Raw genomic sequence first — 15,574 nt, 5'->3', positions numbered from 1 at the left:
TGCTGGGATTACAGGCGTGAGCCACTGCACCCGGCCTGGCCTCTGTTTTTTTTAAACTCATAAAATGGAGATAAATTGCCTACCTGCACACTTATACTGAGGGTGGACTCAAGCAAAATATGTAAAGCCCACGTAGGACACCAAGCCCTTGAGAAACTGGTTATTTAATATCATCTGTAAAATGGGTAGAACATTCCACCTCCCAGGATTAATGGGCCCTGACTATTCCAAGTGCACAGGGGACCTGTGACCCAGGGCTTGGCTTGCCTGGGGAACGGGGCTGGAGGCACTCTGAGAAGGTGCTCCTGCAGTAAGTGTCCCCCATCTCTCCACAGCTGGCGCAGAGTGTGTTCACCGTGTGGGTGGGCCCGATCCCCGTTGCGGTGCTGAGTGGCTTCCAGGTGGTGAAGGAAGCACTGGTCTCCAACTCGGAGCAGTTCTCCGGCAGGTCCCTCACCCCGCTCTTCCAGGACCTGTTTGGAGAACGAGGCAGGGCTGCCCCTCCTGCTGGGGAGGGGGAGGCGGCTAGATGGTCACTACACTCAGGGAGTTGGGGATGGCTCAGAGCTGTTAACAGAGAGGGGACTGCCCAGGAGGACCTGCGTGAGGGGTGGGGGTGGGATGACAAGGAACCAGCTCTGGGAGTTGAAAGACCTGGATTCAAGTCTCAACCCAAGCCCTGGCCAGCTCTGGGACCCCGGACAAGTCGGCCTCACTCTCTGCCCCTCAGTGGGCTCCTGTGTAGATGGGGATAATGATGGCTTTATATCCTGAGAATGTGGGGAGGGGATTAAGTGGCCAAAATACCTGAGAGTGCGCACTCAGTGCCTGGCTCAGCAAATGCCCTTGTTCCCTCCTTCCCTCTCCCCAGAACCCCTCCTCCCCTTCTTCTTCTTTTTTTTTTTTTTTTTTTGACCCAGAGTCTTGCTATGTTGCCCAGGCTGGAGTGCAGTGGCACAATCTCGGCTCACTGCAACCTCCACCTCCTGGCTTCAGGCAATTCTTGTGCCTCAGCCTCTCGAGTAGCTGGGATTACAGGCAGGCACCATCACGCCCGGCTAATTTTTTTTTTTTTTTTTTGTAGTAGAAATGGGATTTCACCATATTGGCAGGATGTTCTCGATCTCCTGACCTCAGGTGATCCACTCGCCTTGGCCTCCCAAAGTGCTGGGATTATAGGTGTCAGCCACTGCGCCCAGCCCCCATTGTTTATCTCCTCTTCCATTTCTTGTGGGGACTTTTAAAGGAAAAATCAGGTTGGTGGGCTGGGGGAGGGCATAGCTGAGACCACCTTGAGGGCACCAAGCTCACTGACCACTCCCTCAAATGCCCCTCAGCCCTGGGACACAGCATCTTCCCAGAGGTGATTTTGGGGTCTGCCCTCCAGGCCTGGCCCAGGTGAGAGCCAAGTGGTCTTGGCCTGGGAGGCTGGGAGGGGCTGGCGACTGTCCACCCCACCCCACCCCGGACCCAGGCATCATCTGCAGCAGCGGGCACACGTGGCGGCAAAAGAGACGCTTCTGCCTGGTGATGATTTGAGGGCTGGGCCTAGGCAAGCTGGCGCTGGAGGTGCAGCTGCAGAAAGAGGCAGCAGAGCTGGCAGAAGCCTTCCGCCAGGAGCAGGGTAAGTAGCAGGCTGGCGGCAGGCCTACCCTCACCCCCTCTCCCCACGCACGCGCACACCCCTGCAGAACAGGCGAGCTTCACTGCATAGGCGTGTGTGTGTCCATTAAGCCTCAGAACGTTAACAGCCGTTTTAAGCTCCATTGAGTGGGAGTTTCTCCAAGGTGGGTAGACAGAGGTCCAGGAATGGCCAAGGTCACTGGAAAGCCACAGCCCTCCTTGATAGCTGGGGATTTTCCATCAACATCCAAGGCAGCCGGGCACGGTGGCTCCCCTCTGTAATCCCAGCACTTTGAGAGGCTGAGGCGAGCGGATCACCTGAGGTCAGGGGTTTGGGAGCCGCCTGGCCAACCTGGTGAAACCCTGTCTCTACTAAAAATACAAACAATTAGCCCGGTGTGTTGGGCACGTGCCTGTAATCCCAGCTACTCTGGAGGCTGAGGCAGAAGAATCGCTTGAACCTGGGAGAAGGAGGCTGCAGTGAGCCGAGGTCATGCCATTGTACTCCAGCCTGGGCGACAGAGCAACACTCCATCTCAAAAAAATAATAATAAATAAAATAACAACAAACTAACAAACAAACAAATCATCCCAGGCGTCTCACACCTCCAGCCATTGGCATATGCATTTCCCCTTCCAGAACGCCCCAGCCCATGTCCCTTCCCTCCCCATGAGAAACCACTGTTCCTTCCTCCAGACCAGCTGCGGTCACCTGCCCTGAGAAATCCTCCTGAATGCCAGGCCCCCAAACCTTTTTTATTCCCTGCTGTGCCATACCTGCCCCACATTCTGTTGTTATTCTGTTGTCATTCAAATTGTTGTCTGTCTCCCATGCCTCTCTCTGACCTGGCTCGTAGAAGGTGCTTGGTAAGCACTTGGGTTTTTTTGTTTTTGTTTGTTTTGTTTTGTTTTGTTTTTGAGACGGAGTTTCGCTCTTGTTGCCCAGGCTGAGTGTAGTGGCACAATCTCGGCTCACTGCTACCTCTATCCCCCGGGTTCAAGTGATTCTCCTGCCTCAGCCTCCCAAGCAGCTGGGATTACAAGTGTGCGCCACCAGACCCAGCTAATTTTTGTATTTTCAGTAGAGACAGGGTTTCACCATGTTGGTCAGGCTGGTCTCAAACTCCTGACCTCAGGTGATCCACCTGCCTCAGCCTCCCAAAGTGCTGGGATTACAGGCATGAGCCACTGCGCCCGGCTGGTAAGCATTTGCGGAGTGCATGAGTGAGGAATGGGAATGGAGGACTGAGTTAGTAAATGAGCGACTAGATACGAGATCAGATGGGTGCTCAGGGTAGTGCTTCTCGTGCCTCCTCGTCCTGAGCCCTGCCCCTCTACCCTCAGGTAGACCCTTCGACCCTCAGGTATCCATTGTCAGGTCCACAGTCAGAGTCATCGGGGCCCTTGTGTTTGGCCACCACTTCCTCTTAGAGGATCCCATCTTCCAGGAACTGACTCAAGCCATCGACTTTGGCCTGGCATTTGTCAGCACTGTGTGGCGCCGGGTAATTGGCATTTGGGGAGGCAGGTGTGCAGGCCATTACCTTAGGGGCCCGAGGCAGGCAGGGGCCTCAGCCAGGGCCTGGCAGGGAGGGTGCAAGGTGGGCAGGAGGGAGACCGTGGCTTCTGCCTGGTGAGCTGACACATTCAGAGCATCAAACCTTTGTTGTGGTTCAGCATGAATGCATGGGCAAGGAATCAGAGGCTGGTTATATCCTAGGACATACAGCTTTCTGGACCTGCAACATCCCAGCGAAGCCCTAAGCACAGCTGCTCTGACCACAGCTCTCATTTCTGTCTAAATTATTTGGGGAGTCTCCAGATGAGAGGCAGCCCTGGGTTACTCAAGTCAAAGGCTCCAGCCCACTTTGGAGCCCCCCGACTCAGAGGCTGGCTCCTGAGTAGGCCCTGGGTGGGCGTCTCTCTCCACAGCTGTATGACGTGTTTCCCTGGGCCCTCTGCCACCTCCCAGGACCCCACCAGGAGATATTTAGGTACCAAGAGGTCGTGCTGAGCTTAATCCACCAGGAGATCACCAGGCACAAACTCAGGGCACCGGAGGCCCCCAGGGACTTCATCAGCTGCTACCTGGCCCAGATCTCCAAGGTGAGCCTGGAACAGCTGCTCAGGAAAGGAGGGGCCATCTTTTTGGGCTGCACCTCGTTTCTGAGCACCTCCTTTCTAAGCCATGGTCTCAGTTTCTCATCTTTGACTCTATCTACGAGCTTCCAAAGCACGCTGAAAATGTGAGTTAAAACAGGGTTTTCCTCCCTACTTTTTCCCAGGGCAGGGCTGGCTTCTACAGACATGGGTAGGGTGGGAAGCAGAAGACCTGGCTGATGTCAGGGCCAGAACACCAGGGCAGCCACCCACCAACATCAATGCAGTCCTGAGAATCAGGCCCTCTCAAGGGGTTGGAACCTCAAGTTCTGGCCGCACAGGTCTCAGATCAGGCTTCAAGGAAACCCCAGGGCTCTGTCAGGAGAGAATTTTAGACCTGGAGCTGCGCCCCCCACTCGCCCACCCCCGACTCGCCAGGCCATGGATGACCCTGTCTCCACATTCAACCAGGAGAACCTGGTCTAGGTGGTGATCGACCTGTTTCTGGGAGGCACCGACACCACAGCCACCACCCTGTGCTGGGCACTCATCCACATGATCCAGCACGGAGCTGTCCAGGGTGACAGGCCCTTGGTCACACTCTGGCTGACTGCCCCATGCATGGGGCTTCTGGGCCATGGGCATTGCCTCCATCACTCTCCTTGCTCTGTGGCCCCAGGGGTGGGTCCTGCTCTCGCCACTGTGGTACAGGAAGTGTTCATGGCTTCGAGTCAGACAGGAGGGGCTTCAGTTCCCACCCTGCTGCTTACTGCGTAATGCTGGGCAAGTCATTCCACCTCTCAGACCCAGTGTACAATGGACAACACTATTCTACTCATTCAGTAATGATTCAGCACCTACTAAGTGCCAGGCCCTGTGCCGATGTCCACCTCAAGATCACAACTGTGGAGGGGAAAATGTAGCTGGATTTCTCTCAAGGACAAACTGACTATGACCTGAATTCAAATCTGGTGCCACAAGTTTCGTGACCTTGGGCAAAAGTACCTGTCCTGTTAGAGCCTCAGTTTCTCCATCTGTAAAATGGAGACAACAGTCCCTCCTCCATAATGCTTTTTTTTTTAGACGGTATCTCACTCTGTCACCCAGGCTGGAGGGCAGTGGCACAGTCTTGGCTCACTGCAACCTCTGCCTCCTGGGTTCAAGTGATTCTCCTGCCTCAGCCTCCTGAGTAGCTGGAATTACAGGCGCACCACCACAAGCCGCTAATTTTTTTGTATTTTTAGTAGAGATGGGGTTTCACCACGTTGGCCAGGCTGGTCTCGAACTTCTGACCTCAGGTGATCCACCTGCCTTGGCCTCCCAAAGTGCTGGGATTACAGGTGTGAGCCACTGCCCCCGGCCATAATGCTGTTCATATAGAGCACCTGACACATAGCAGGTTCTCAAATCTGGGTGCTCTCTCTTCCCTCCAGTGCCCCCTGGAGGAGGAAACCCTACAAAACCTTGTTCATAAGAAGCAAGCTCTGCCTCAGAGAAGGGTCTGCTCCTGTGAGACCAGGGGTGACAGGGTGGTTTGGGGTGACCCAAGGGCCGCAAGCCTCGGCAGCAGTGTCCTGGGTGGGGACGGAGGCGGTGAGGGAGGATGGGGGTGCCAGGGCACAGGAACCCTCCCCAGACCCACACTAAGCCACCTGCGGAGACGGTGCAGCTGGAGCTGGACGAGGTGCTGGGTGCTGCCCCGGTTGTCTGCTATGAAGACCGCAAGCGACTGCCTTACACCATGCTGTCCTCCATGACGTGCAGCGCCTCAGCAGCGTCATGGCCATGGGTGCCGTGCGCCAGTGTGTGACCTCCACCCGTGTGTGCAGCTATCCCGTGAGCAAGGTAGGTGGCCCTACGCAGCCCCACACCCAACCCAGTGCCTGCAGAAAGCATCCTTCCTGCCAGCACAGCCATCTGCTATAGCTTCTGCCAACCTGCCAGCTATCAGTCACTTAATCTCTCTCTCTCTCTGTGGCGTTTGGGACGGGGGTTATGATTATAAAAGAATGTAGCCGGGTGCCATGGCTTACGCCTACAATCCCAGCACTTTGAGAGGCTGAGGTGGGAGGATTGCTTGAGCCTAGGAGTTCAAGATCAGCCTGGGCAACATGGCGAGACCCCGTCTCTATAAAACATAAAAAAAAATTAGCCAGGCATGGTGGTGCACACCTGTAGTCCCAGATACTTGGGAGGCTAAGGCAGGAGGATCGCTTGAGCCCGGGAGGTTGAGGCTGCAGTGAGCCATAATTGCACCACTGCACTCCGTACTGAGTGACAGAGTGAGACTCTGTCTCAAAAAAAAAATGTATAATATAAAGAATGTACTCACTGAGGGATAATTTTTAAAGTTCTCTGTTGTTCAGAGATAACCTTTGCAGACATGATAATCCACCACTCTCCAATCTTTTTTTGCACACATATAGTTTACATAGTTGCAATTCTGCTGAATATATCATTCTGAATCCTTCATTGCACTTAATATTCAGATTCTTCTATAGCAGTGGTTCTCAAACTTCCAGGTACATCAGAATCACCTGGACGGCTTGTGAAAGCAGACACTGCTGGACTCTTCCTCCAGACATTATCTGTCTAGGGTGGGCTGAGAATTTGCCTTTCTAACAAGCTCCCAGGTGGTGCTGATGCTGTGAGTCCAGGGACCATGCTTTGAAAACCACTGCTCTACATCATTCTGTTTTTTGTTGTTTTGTTTTTGTTGTTGTTTTTTTGAAACAGAGTCTTGTTCTGTCTCCCAGGCTGGAGTGCAGTGGTGTGATCTCGGCTCACCACAACCTCTGTCTCCCACGTTCAAGCGATTCTTCTGCCTCAGCCTCCTACATAGCTGGGACTACAGGTGTGCCACCATGCCTGGCTAATTTTTTTTTTTTTTTTGTATTTTTAGTAAAGACGGGGTTTCACCATGTTGGCCAGGCTGGTCTCGAACTCCTGACCTCGGGTGATCGCCCGCCTAGGCCTCCCAAAGTGCTGGGATTGCAGGTGTGAGCCACCACACTGGGCATCTACATCATTCTTAATGGCTGCATAATGTTCCACCAAATGGATGTTTTGCAATTTTAACCCTTGTTGGTGAACATTTAGGCCATTTGCAATTTATGTGCCTTAGGCTTGGTCTGCATTTTGTATTATCTCCTTAAAACTGGTTTCTAGCAGAAATGCCTTGCTTGCTTCTTTCATTTTATAGCAAGGTTAAGAAAACAAGTGCCAAATAAGGAGAGAGGAAGAAAGTTATAAAAATAAGTCAAATCAAGAACAGTTGCCACATATGTACATAAAACTCGAGTCTGAATTTCATTGGAGTGAAGGGAAAAAAGGAAATCTCGATTAATTATGAGTTATTATGTAATAAAAGGAAGCATGCCTGTATCAGGAAAGCTTTGGCTTATCACATGCCTGTAAGTTATGACAAGGATCATCATTCACAATATTCTTTTGTGGGCCAGTGGACCATGTAGTGGCAGTGATTTAAGCAGGAGTTTTTAAAAGATGCAGAAATATTCTTCAAGATGGCAGCTGCTTCTTATCTCAATTCCTTTTAAGAGATAAAATTCCTTTCATTCCTACAGTCAGCCAAAATAACACAGTTGAAGTTTATATAAATAATTATTTATTTTTAACCTCTATTCTTTTTTTTTTTTGAGATGGAGTCTTGCTCTGTCACCTAGGCTGGAGTGCAGTGGCTCAATCTTGGCTCACTGCAGCCTCTGCCTCCCAGGTTCAAGCTATTCTGCCTCAGTCTCCCGAGTAGCTGGGATGACAGGTGTGTGCCACCATGCCCGGCTAATTTTTGTATTTTTTAGTAGAGATAGGGTTTCACCATGTTGGCCAGGCTCGTCTAGAACTCCTGACCTCAAGTGATCTGCCTGCCTCAGCCTCCCAAAGTGCTGGGATTACAGGCATGAGCCACCGCGTCCGGCCAATATTTATTTATTTTTGAGACAGAGTCTTGCTCTGTCACCCAGGCTAGAGTGCATTGGCACGATCACGGCTCACCACAGCCTCTATCTCCCAGCTCAATCGATCTTCCCACCTCACCCTCCCGAGTAGCTAGGACTACAGGCATGAGCCCCCATGCCTGGCTAATTTTCGTTGTTTTTGTTGTTGTTGTTGCTTTGTTTTTTTGCAGAGATGCAGTTTCACCATGTTGCCCAGGTTGGTCTCGAGCATAGTTGAAGATGATAGCTCTCTGGTGATCCAGCTTGAGATAGCTTTCCGAGCAGATTTTTGACGTGAGCTGGACAATAACATGAGGACACCTGCTCTTTGCCCAGGCTTGCTGTGTGCTGAGGGCTTTGTGCCCACGGTGTCATTCGGTACAATGGTGCTCTGTATTGTTGACGGAGCCTTGCAGATCCTAGATGACAGATGTTGAATTACTTACCTATCTTACTGTGTAACAAATTACCCCAAAACTTAGTGGCTTAGAACAACAGCATTTATCATTTCACAGTTTCTGAGGGTTAGGAAAATGGGTGTGGCTCAGCTGGATGCCTCTGACTCAAGGTCTCTCATGAGGTTACCATCAAGTTGTTGTTGGGGCTACAGTGTCACCTGAAGACTCCCCTAGGGGAGGCTCCACTTCAAGCTCACTTACATGGAGGTCTTCAGGACCCGGTTGCTCATGAACTGTTGGCTGGAGACCTTCAGTTCCTTGACACATGGGCCTCTGCATAGGGTAGCTCAAAACATGGCAGCTGAACCCCATCAGAGAGAGCAAGCAAGAGGGCACCCAAAATAGAAGCAATGGTCTTTTTGTAACCTAATCTTAGATGTGATATCCCATTGCTTTTGCCATATTCTTTTTTTTTGAGACAGAATCTCGCTCTGTCACCCCAGGCTGGAGTGCAGTGGTGCAATCTCAGCTCAGTGCAGCCTCTGCCTCCTGGGCTCAAGCAATTCTCCTGCCTCAGCCTCCCGAGTAGCTGTGATTACAGGCATGTGCCACCATGCCTGGCTAATTTTTGTATATTTTAGTAGAGATGGAGTTTACCATGTTGGCCAGGCTGGTCTTGAACTCCTGACCTCGAGTGATTGGCCTGCCTCAGCCTACCAAGGTGCTGGGATTACGGGTGTGAGCCACCGCACCCGGCCGCTTTTGCCATATTCTATTTGTTGGGTTTGTTGTTGTTGTTGTTGTTGGTTTGAGACAGTGTCTCCCTCTGTTGCCTGGGTTGGAGTGAAGGGACACAATAATAGCTCACTGCAGCCTCAACCTCCCAGGCTTGGGTGATCCTCCCACCTCAGCTGCCTGAGTAGCTGGAACTACAGGCACCACATTGTGCCACCACAATGGGCTAATTTTTAAATTTTTGGTAGAGATGGGGTTTCACCATGTTGCCTAGGTTGGTCTCAAATTCCTGGGCTCAAGTGATCCTCCCACCTTGGCCTTCCAGAGTGCTGGGATTCCATGCATGAGCCACTGCGTCTGGCCCATTTTCTATTTGTTAGAAGTGAGTTACTAAATCCATCCTATCCTCAAGGGGAGGGGATTACACAAAGGTGTGTATCCTGGGAGTCAAGGCTAACTGGGGTAACTATCGGGGAATCTGTCCCGATAGTCACGTAGGTTCTTTTCTGTTTTTCCTAAGCGTCGGCCAGCTTGAGAAATAAAGGGACGAGTACAAAAGAGAGAAATTTTAAAGCTGGGCGTCTGGGGGAGACATCACGTGTCGGTGGGTTCCGTGATGCCCCACAAGCCGCAAAAACCAGCAAGTTTTTATTAGGGATTTTCAAAAGGGGAGGGAATGTGCAAATAGGTGTGGGTCACAGACATCAAGTACTTTACAAGGTAATGGAATATCACAAGGCAAGTGGAGGCAGGGCAAGATCACAGGACCACAGGACTGGGGCAAAATTAAAATTGCTAATGAAGTTTCGGGCACCATGGTCATTGATAACATCTTATCAGGAGACAGGGTTTTGAGAGCAACTGGTCTGACCAAAAATTTATTAGGCGGGAATTTCCTCTTCCTAATAAGCCTGGGAGTGCTATGGGAGACTGGGGTCTATTTCACCCCTATAGCCTCGACCATAAGAGACAGGCACACCTAGGGGGGCCGTTTATAGGCCTATACCCCCAGGCGCGTATTCTCTTTCCCAGGGATCTTCCTTGCTGAGAAAAAGAATTCAGTGATATTTCTCCCATTTGCTTTTGAAAGAAGAGAAATATGGCTCTGTTCCACCCGGCTCATCGGTGGTCAGAGTTTAAGGTTATCTCTCGTATTCCCTGAACAATTGCTGTTATCCTGTTCTTTTTTCAAGGTGCCCAGATTTCATATCATTTAAACAGACATGCTCTACAATTTGTGCAGTTAATGCAATTATCACAAGGTTCTGAGGCAACATACATCCTCCTCAGCTGACAGGATTAAGAGATTAAAGTAAAGACAGGCATAGGAAATCACAAGGGTATTGACTGGGGAAGTGATAAGTGTCCATGAAATCTTTACAATTTATGTTTAGAGATTGCAGTAAAGACAGGCATAAGAAATTATAAAAGTATTAATTTGGGGAACTAATAAATGTCCGTGAAATCTTCACAATCCAGGTTCTTCTGCCATGGCTTCAGCCAGTCCCTCCGTTCGGGGTCCCTGACTTCCCGCAACAGGTAACATACCAACATGTGTAGGTGGTGAGGTTGCCATTTTAATGAAAATGAAACAGAGCGACTCATCTTGGTGCCCTGGTGCAGGGTGATGCCTCTGTACATAGAGGTGGTGGCGGGAGCCCTGAGACTTTCCTCGGAAAGGAGCTTTGGCTCTGCCCCGAGTACTGCCCTGGAGTACAGTGGTGTGATCTCAGCTCACTGCAGCCTCCACCTCCGGGGCTCAAGCAATTCTCCCACCTCATCCTCCCAAGTAGCTGGTATTACAGGCACGTGCCACCACGTCCAGCTAATTTTTATTATTTTTATTTTTTTTTTAATTTGTAGTAAAGACGGGGTTTCACCAGGTTGGCCAGGCTGGTCTTGAACTCCTGCCTCTGCCTCTCAAAGTGCTGGGATTACAGGCATAAGCCGCCATGCCCAGCCCCATTATTAACTTATTATTAATTTGCCCAGACTTGAGGTTCCTTCCTCCACAGATTTTTTTCTTCACAGAAGCCCTATCCTTCGGACGCTTTGTTGCTGTTTCTTTTCCATAGATAGAGAAACTTCAGCATAGGCAGCTTAAGAAACTGCCCAAACACAGCTAGTAAGTGACTTAGCTGAGTTTCAAATGCATGTCCCTCTGACTCTAAAGTGTTTTCTTTTCCTACCATATGCCCTGCTGTTTGTATTTATACGAAAATGCCACTCTAGGTAAGTGAACCAATGTGTTCAATGGAGATGTTTTACACTGTCATTCTGTCCTTGGCAGAAATTGGCCAGCAAGTTTACAGGTTTGTCAAGAGTCTCTGGGAAAGTGGATAGGACCAGGGCATCAGGTCATCTTGCTGCTGGCGTGGCAGAAGGACCCAGGCCCAGGTTGTCTAGAAGCTGTGCCAACTTAAGTTAAAAAGAGGGGGCCAGGGTACTGCTCTGTGTTATGCCGTTTGGGATTAGAAATTTCCTTATTAAGAGCTCATTCCTGCCAATTTGATTCTAGGACTTGTTCTGTGATAAAGGCTCCAGGGGCCCATTAACGAGCTGAAATCAATATTGAGCTTTTACAACTTGGACGAGAGATGTCTGCTGAAAGTGGAATCAAAGCTTGACAGTAGATCATTAAATGTTACAGATATTCCTAAACTGTTCCTAACCATTTCATCAGCTGAGTGATCGTGACAACAGCAATAGTCCCTGATACGACGGTTGCACTTCCAGCCTGTCTCTCTTCTCAGACATTCTATTTGATTGCGAATTCCAAATTGCCATTTACTGGGCAGAAGCTGGCACAGCGACCCCAGGAGGTACCCAGCAGGTAGATGGTTCTACAGTCTGGGGAAGTGGAGGGCGGTTGTTGCGGGGGGCGGGGCGCTGTCCTTTTTGCATACTGGATAGGCTGTGCTCTGAACCTGTTCCATGAGCTGAGAACCTCCTTTGCAAGGAGGCCAGAACATCACCCAAAAAAGGACACAAATAATTCTGGAGGGAAAAGAGCATCTTGCTAGGAGCCTCCTCCTCTGAAGGTGATTAGTAAGAACCGTTGCAATGCAGAGGTTACTTAATCCCAGGTAGAGAAAATGGGGGAATTCCCATGACTAGAACTGGGAAATCTATAGCTCACTCAGGCAGCAGCAAGAACACAGGCCTCCCCAACACCTCTGCTTGAAGCTACAGAGTGAGCAAGTCTGGGTGCCCTATTGGTACACATGGCTAGGATGAGGCACCTTGCCTAAGCGTGCCGTACTGCAACAACGGCAAAAAAGAACAATTTCCCCTGAAAACAATTTCTGCATTCTGTTTTTTTTTTTGTTGTTGTTGTTTTGTTTTTTTAGATGGAATCTTGCTCTGTCGCCCAGGCTGGAATGCAGAGGCGTGATCTTGGCTCACTACAACCTTTGCCTGCCTCAGCCTCCCGAGTAGCTGAGACTATAGGCACTTGCCACCACGCCCGACTAATTTTTGTATTTTTAGTAGAGATGGGGTTTCACCGTGTTGGCCAGGCTGGTCTCAAACTCCTGACCTCAAGCGATCCGCCCTGATTGGCCTCCCAAAGTGCTGGGATTACAGGTGTGAGCCACTGCGACCAGCCAGCATCTGCTGCTCCATTTCTGCATTCTTTATTGGTTTCTGTTTAGAATGCAGGCTTCAAACTCGCTAAGCTTTTTTTTTTTTTTTTAATTTCAAGCTTTTTCTTTGGTCAGAATCAAGAATTCTGTAGTCAGCCCTCTGGTCTCTACAGGGATAGCTGGTTTAATTTTGTGGTATTTGGTAAATGAGCCCTGGGGTATGAGGCCTTCCCCGGAATCCCAGAGCTGAGTGTTCTAGGGCTGGGGACCATAACCGACCCCATCCTGGCTCCACTTTGGCCTCCTTATGCTGTTTCCGGTCAGCCCAGGGCCCACATGGTAAGGAGCAGATGTTACCCTGCTCCCATCTGCTTGGTCTGATTCTCTTTCTAATCACTCACTTCTCCTTTGAGATAGAGTGAGGGCTGAGGTGAGGGTGAGAGGGAAGATTTGGGTTTGGGTTTGGGGGAAGGTGAGGGTTGGGGTTAGGTTGAAGGTTAGAGTTGGGCTTATGGTTCATGTTTTCCTCTCCCCAACCCTAAAGAGTGAAGCTTGCTGTCTCCTCTCTGTCTTTCCATCACTCAGTTCCTCTTTCTCTGCTTGTTTGCCATTCCATTTCTCCTCGTTCTGTCTCTTCCTCTTAACACCCACGTGTGCACACATCCCCTGCCCCAGTGTGTATTGTCCTGGGCTGTCCTTGGCCCCTTCCAGACATGCCCCCAGCTGTTGGCCTTCTCTGTAGGAGGCAATGGCTTCATGTCCCTAGACGTGGCTGGGAGTCTTCAGGACAAAGCTGGGCAGTCCTTAGCCAGGAGGGTGTCCTGCTCAGCTCCTTCACTGATGTGAGCCTGGAGGAAGGGCAGCCTGAGGGCCGGCTGCTGAGTCTCCTCAAGGCCCCTGGACTACTCCCACCAACACACTGGGTATTCTCCAAGCTCACTGTGGCTCAGTGTCAGGGCTGGGTACTGGGTACCATCTGAGGCTCCCTGAGCCACACCAGCATCTCTCTGCAGGGCACCATCATCTTACCCAACCTGGCCTCTGTGCTCTATGACCCTGAGTGCTGGGAGACCCCTCGACAGTTCAACCCTGGCCACTTCTCGGACAAGGATGGAAACTTTGTGGCCAATGAGGCCTTCCTGCCATTCTCTGCAGGTACTAGGCACAGAGCTGGATCCTGGGTGGTGGGTGGGGCTGTGGTGGGACAGACACAGGGACAGCTGCCACCTCTGACTTTTCTCTCTGTTTCCAGGGCATCGTGTCTACCCAGCAGACCAGCTGGCTCAAATGGAGCTCTTCCTGATGTTTGCCACCCTCCTCAGGACCTTTCGGTTCCAACTGCCAGAAGGGAGCCCGGGGCTCAAGCTGGAGTACATCTTTGGCGGCACTTGGCAACCCCAGCCCCAGGAGATCTGCGCAGTGCCCCGCCTGAGCAGCCCCAGCCCTGGTCCTAGGGAGGATGGCCTGTAGCCACTGGGGGTCTGGAGGCCTGTCCCCCATGAAGTCCTTCCTCAGTCTCTTTTGGTTCCTGCAAAGTTAGAAAAGAGGAGGACCAGGGGTTCATGCAGCTCAGCTGCTCATGGTTGCCCCTAACACAAGCTCTGTGGGGTGACACTGGAGAATAGACTTAGCAAGGATTCTACAGAGGTAGCTCAGTTTGGGTAGTTCAATTCTTAAATTAGGTTAGTTATGCTTTGGCAGGCGAAGATTTTATAAGATTGGTTAAGTTTGGCATTAAATCAGTCCACAAAGTTAATATTGGGGAATCAAGCCTCACAAGGCAGCAGCTAACTAGGTTCAGAGGAAAAGGCAAACTTTCGAGCAAAACTATGAATATAATAATGCATGCAAATGCGAATACTCTAGATGCCGGGGACTGGTAAACCAAAAAAAAAAAAAAAAAAAAAAAAAGTGAAGCGGGGGCAGCTTATTTTCTGCCTTCTCCTGCCCTCTCCTGACCAGAAGGAAGAACTGCAGTTCTCTGCAGACCTGGGGCAGAGAAAGATCTCACCATCTCAATACAGCAAAGCCAGCAGACCATATAACTGTTTCCAGCAAATTCTTCACCAAAGACCCACTTTAGTTTCCACACAAGGGTCCCTAAATTTTGAATCCTTGCATCTCCAGACAAGCCTTGTTTATTAAAAAAGAATGACTTGTGGCTGGGCATGGTGGCTCACACCTGTAATCCCAGCACTTTGGGAGACCGAGGCAGGTGGATCACTTGAGGTCAGAAGTTCAAGACCAACCTGGCAAACATGGTGAAACCCCATCTCTACTAAAAATACAAAAATTACCCGGGCATGGTGGCAGGCACCTGTAATCCCAGCTACTCGGGAGGCTGAGGCAGGAGAATCGCTTGAACCCAGAAGGCAGAGGTTGCAGTGAGCCAAGATCGCACCACTGCTCTCCAGCCTGGGATCCAAGAGTGAAACTGTCTCAAAAACAAACAAACAAACAAACAAACAAACAAAAGCAAAAACAAAGAATGACTTGTGAGTTCCTGGAGGCAGAGGTTGCAGTGGGCGGAGATTATACCACTACAGTCCAACCTGGGTGACAGAGCGAGACTCTGTCTCAGAAAAAAAAAGACTGACTTGCATCAAGGAAATGCAAACTAAAATCAAATGAAATACCATTACATACCGATTAGAACTGCTAAAAAGAAAACCCTGACAATCCCAAGTACTGGAAAAGATGCGAAGCAAATGGAATTCTCATACCCTGCAGGTGGAAATGTAAAAAGGTACGACTACATTGGAAAACAGTTTGGCAATTTCTTGTAAAATTAAACATTACACCACACAACCCAGCAGTCCCAATCTTAGGTATTACCCAAAAGAAATGAAAATATATGTTCACACAAATGCATATCTATGAATTATATGATTCCATTTCTGTGATATTCTTAAAAAGGCAAACCTATAGGGACAGAAAATATTCCATAGATAAGTGGCTGCCAGGATTCGGGAGCAGGGTTATAGGTTGACTGTAAAAAGACATGAGGAAACTTTCTGGGGTAATAGAAATGTTCTGTATCTTGATTGTGGTGATGGTTACACAACTGTATGTGTTTGTCAAAACTCATACAACTGTACACTTAAATGAGTGTTATTGTATATAAGCCATGCCTCAATAAATCTGAGCTTTAAAAAGGAAATGCCTCGGGCCGGACACGTTG

General features: G+C 50.0%; 1 pseudogene, besides 1 other annotated feature; it reads left to right on the top strand.

Moving 5' to 3' along the window:
* Window positions 435-936: an enhancer, noted in NCBI's record as "H3K4me1 hESC enhancer chr3:183626615-183627116 (GRCh37/hg19 assembly coordinates)". NCBI's record gives its function as "activates a minimal SCP1, AML or CMV promoter by ChIP-STARR-seq in primed H9 embryonic stem cells {active_cell/tissue: H9 hESC(primed)}" and the evidence as "EXISTENCE:reporter gene assay evidence [ECO:0000049][PMID:30033119]".
* CYP2AB1P (cytochrome P450 family 2 subfamily AB member 1, pseudogene) lies at window positions 1,217-14,599 on the top strand (annotated as a pseudogene).

This window comes from Homo sapiens, chromosome 3 (assembly GCF_000001405.40).
Source record: "Homo sapiens chromosome 3, GRCh38.p14 Primary Assembly".
NCBI classification, from domain to species: Eukaryota; Metazoa; Chordata; class Mammalia; order Primates; family Hominidae; genus Homo; species Homo sapiens.
The sequence above is the reverse complement of the archived record's forward strand: the minus strand, read 5'-3'. Positions and strand labels throughout refer to the sequence as shown.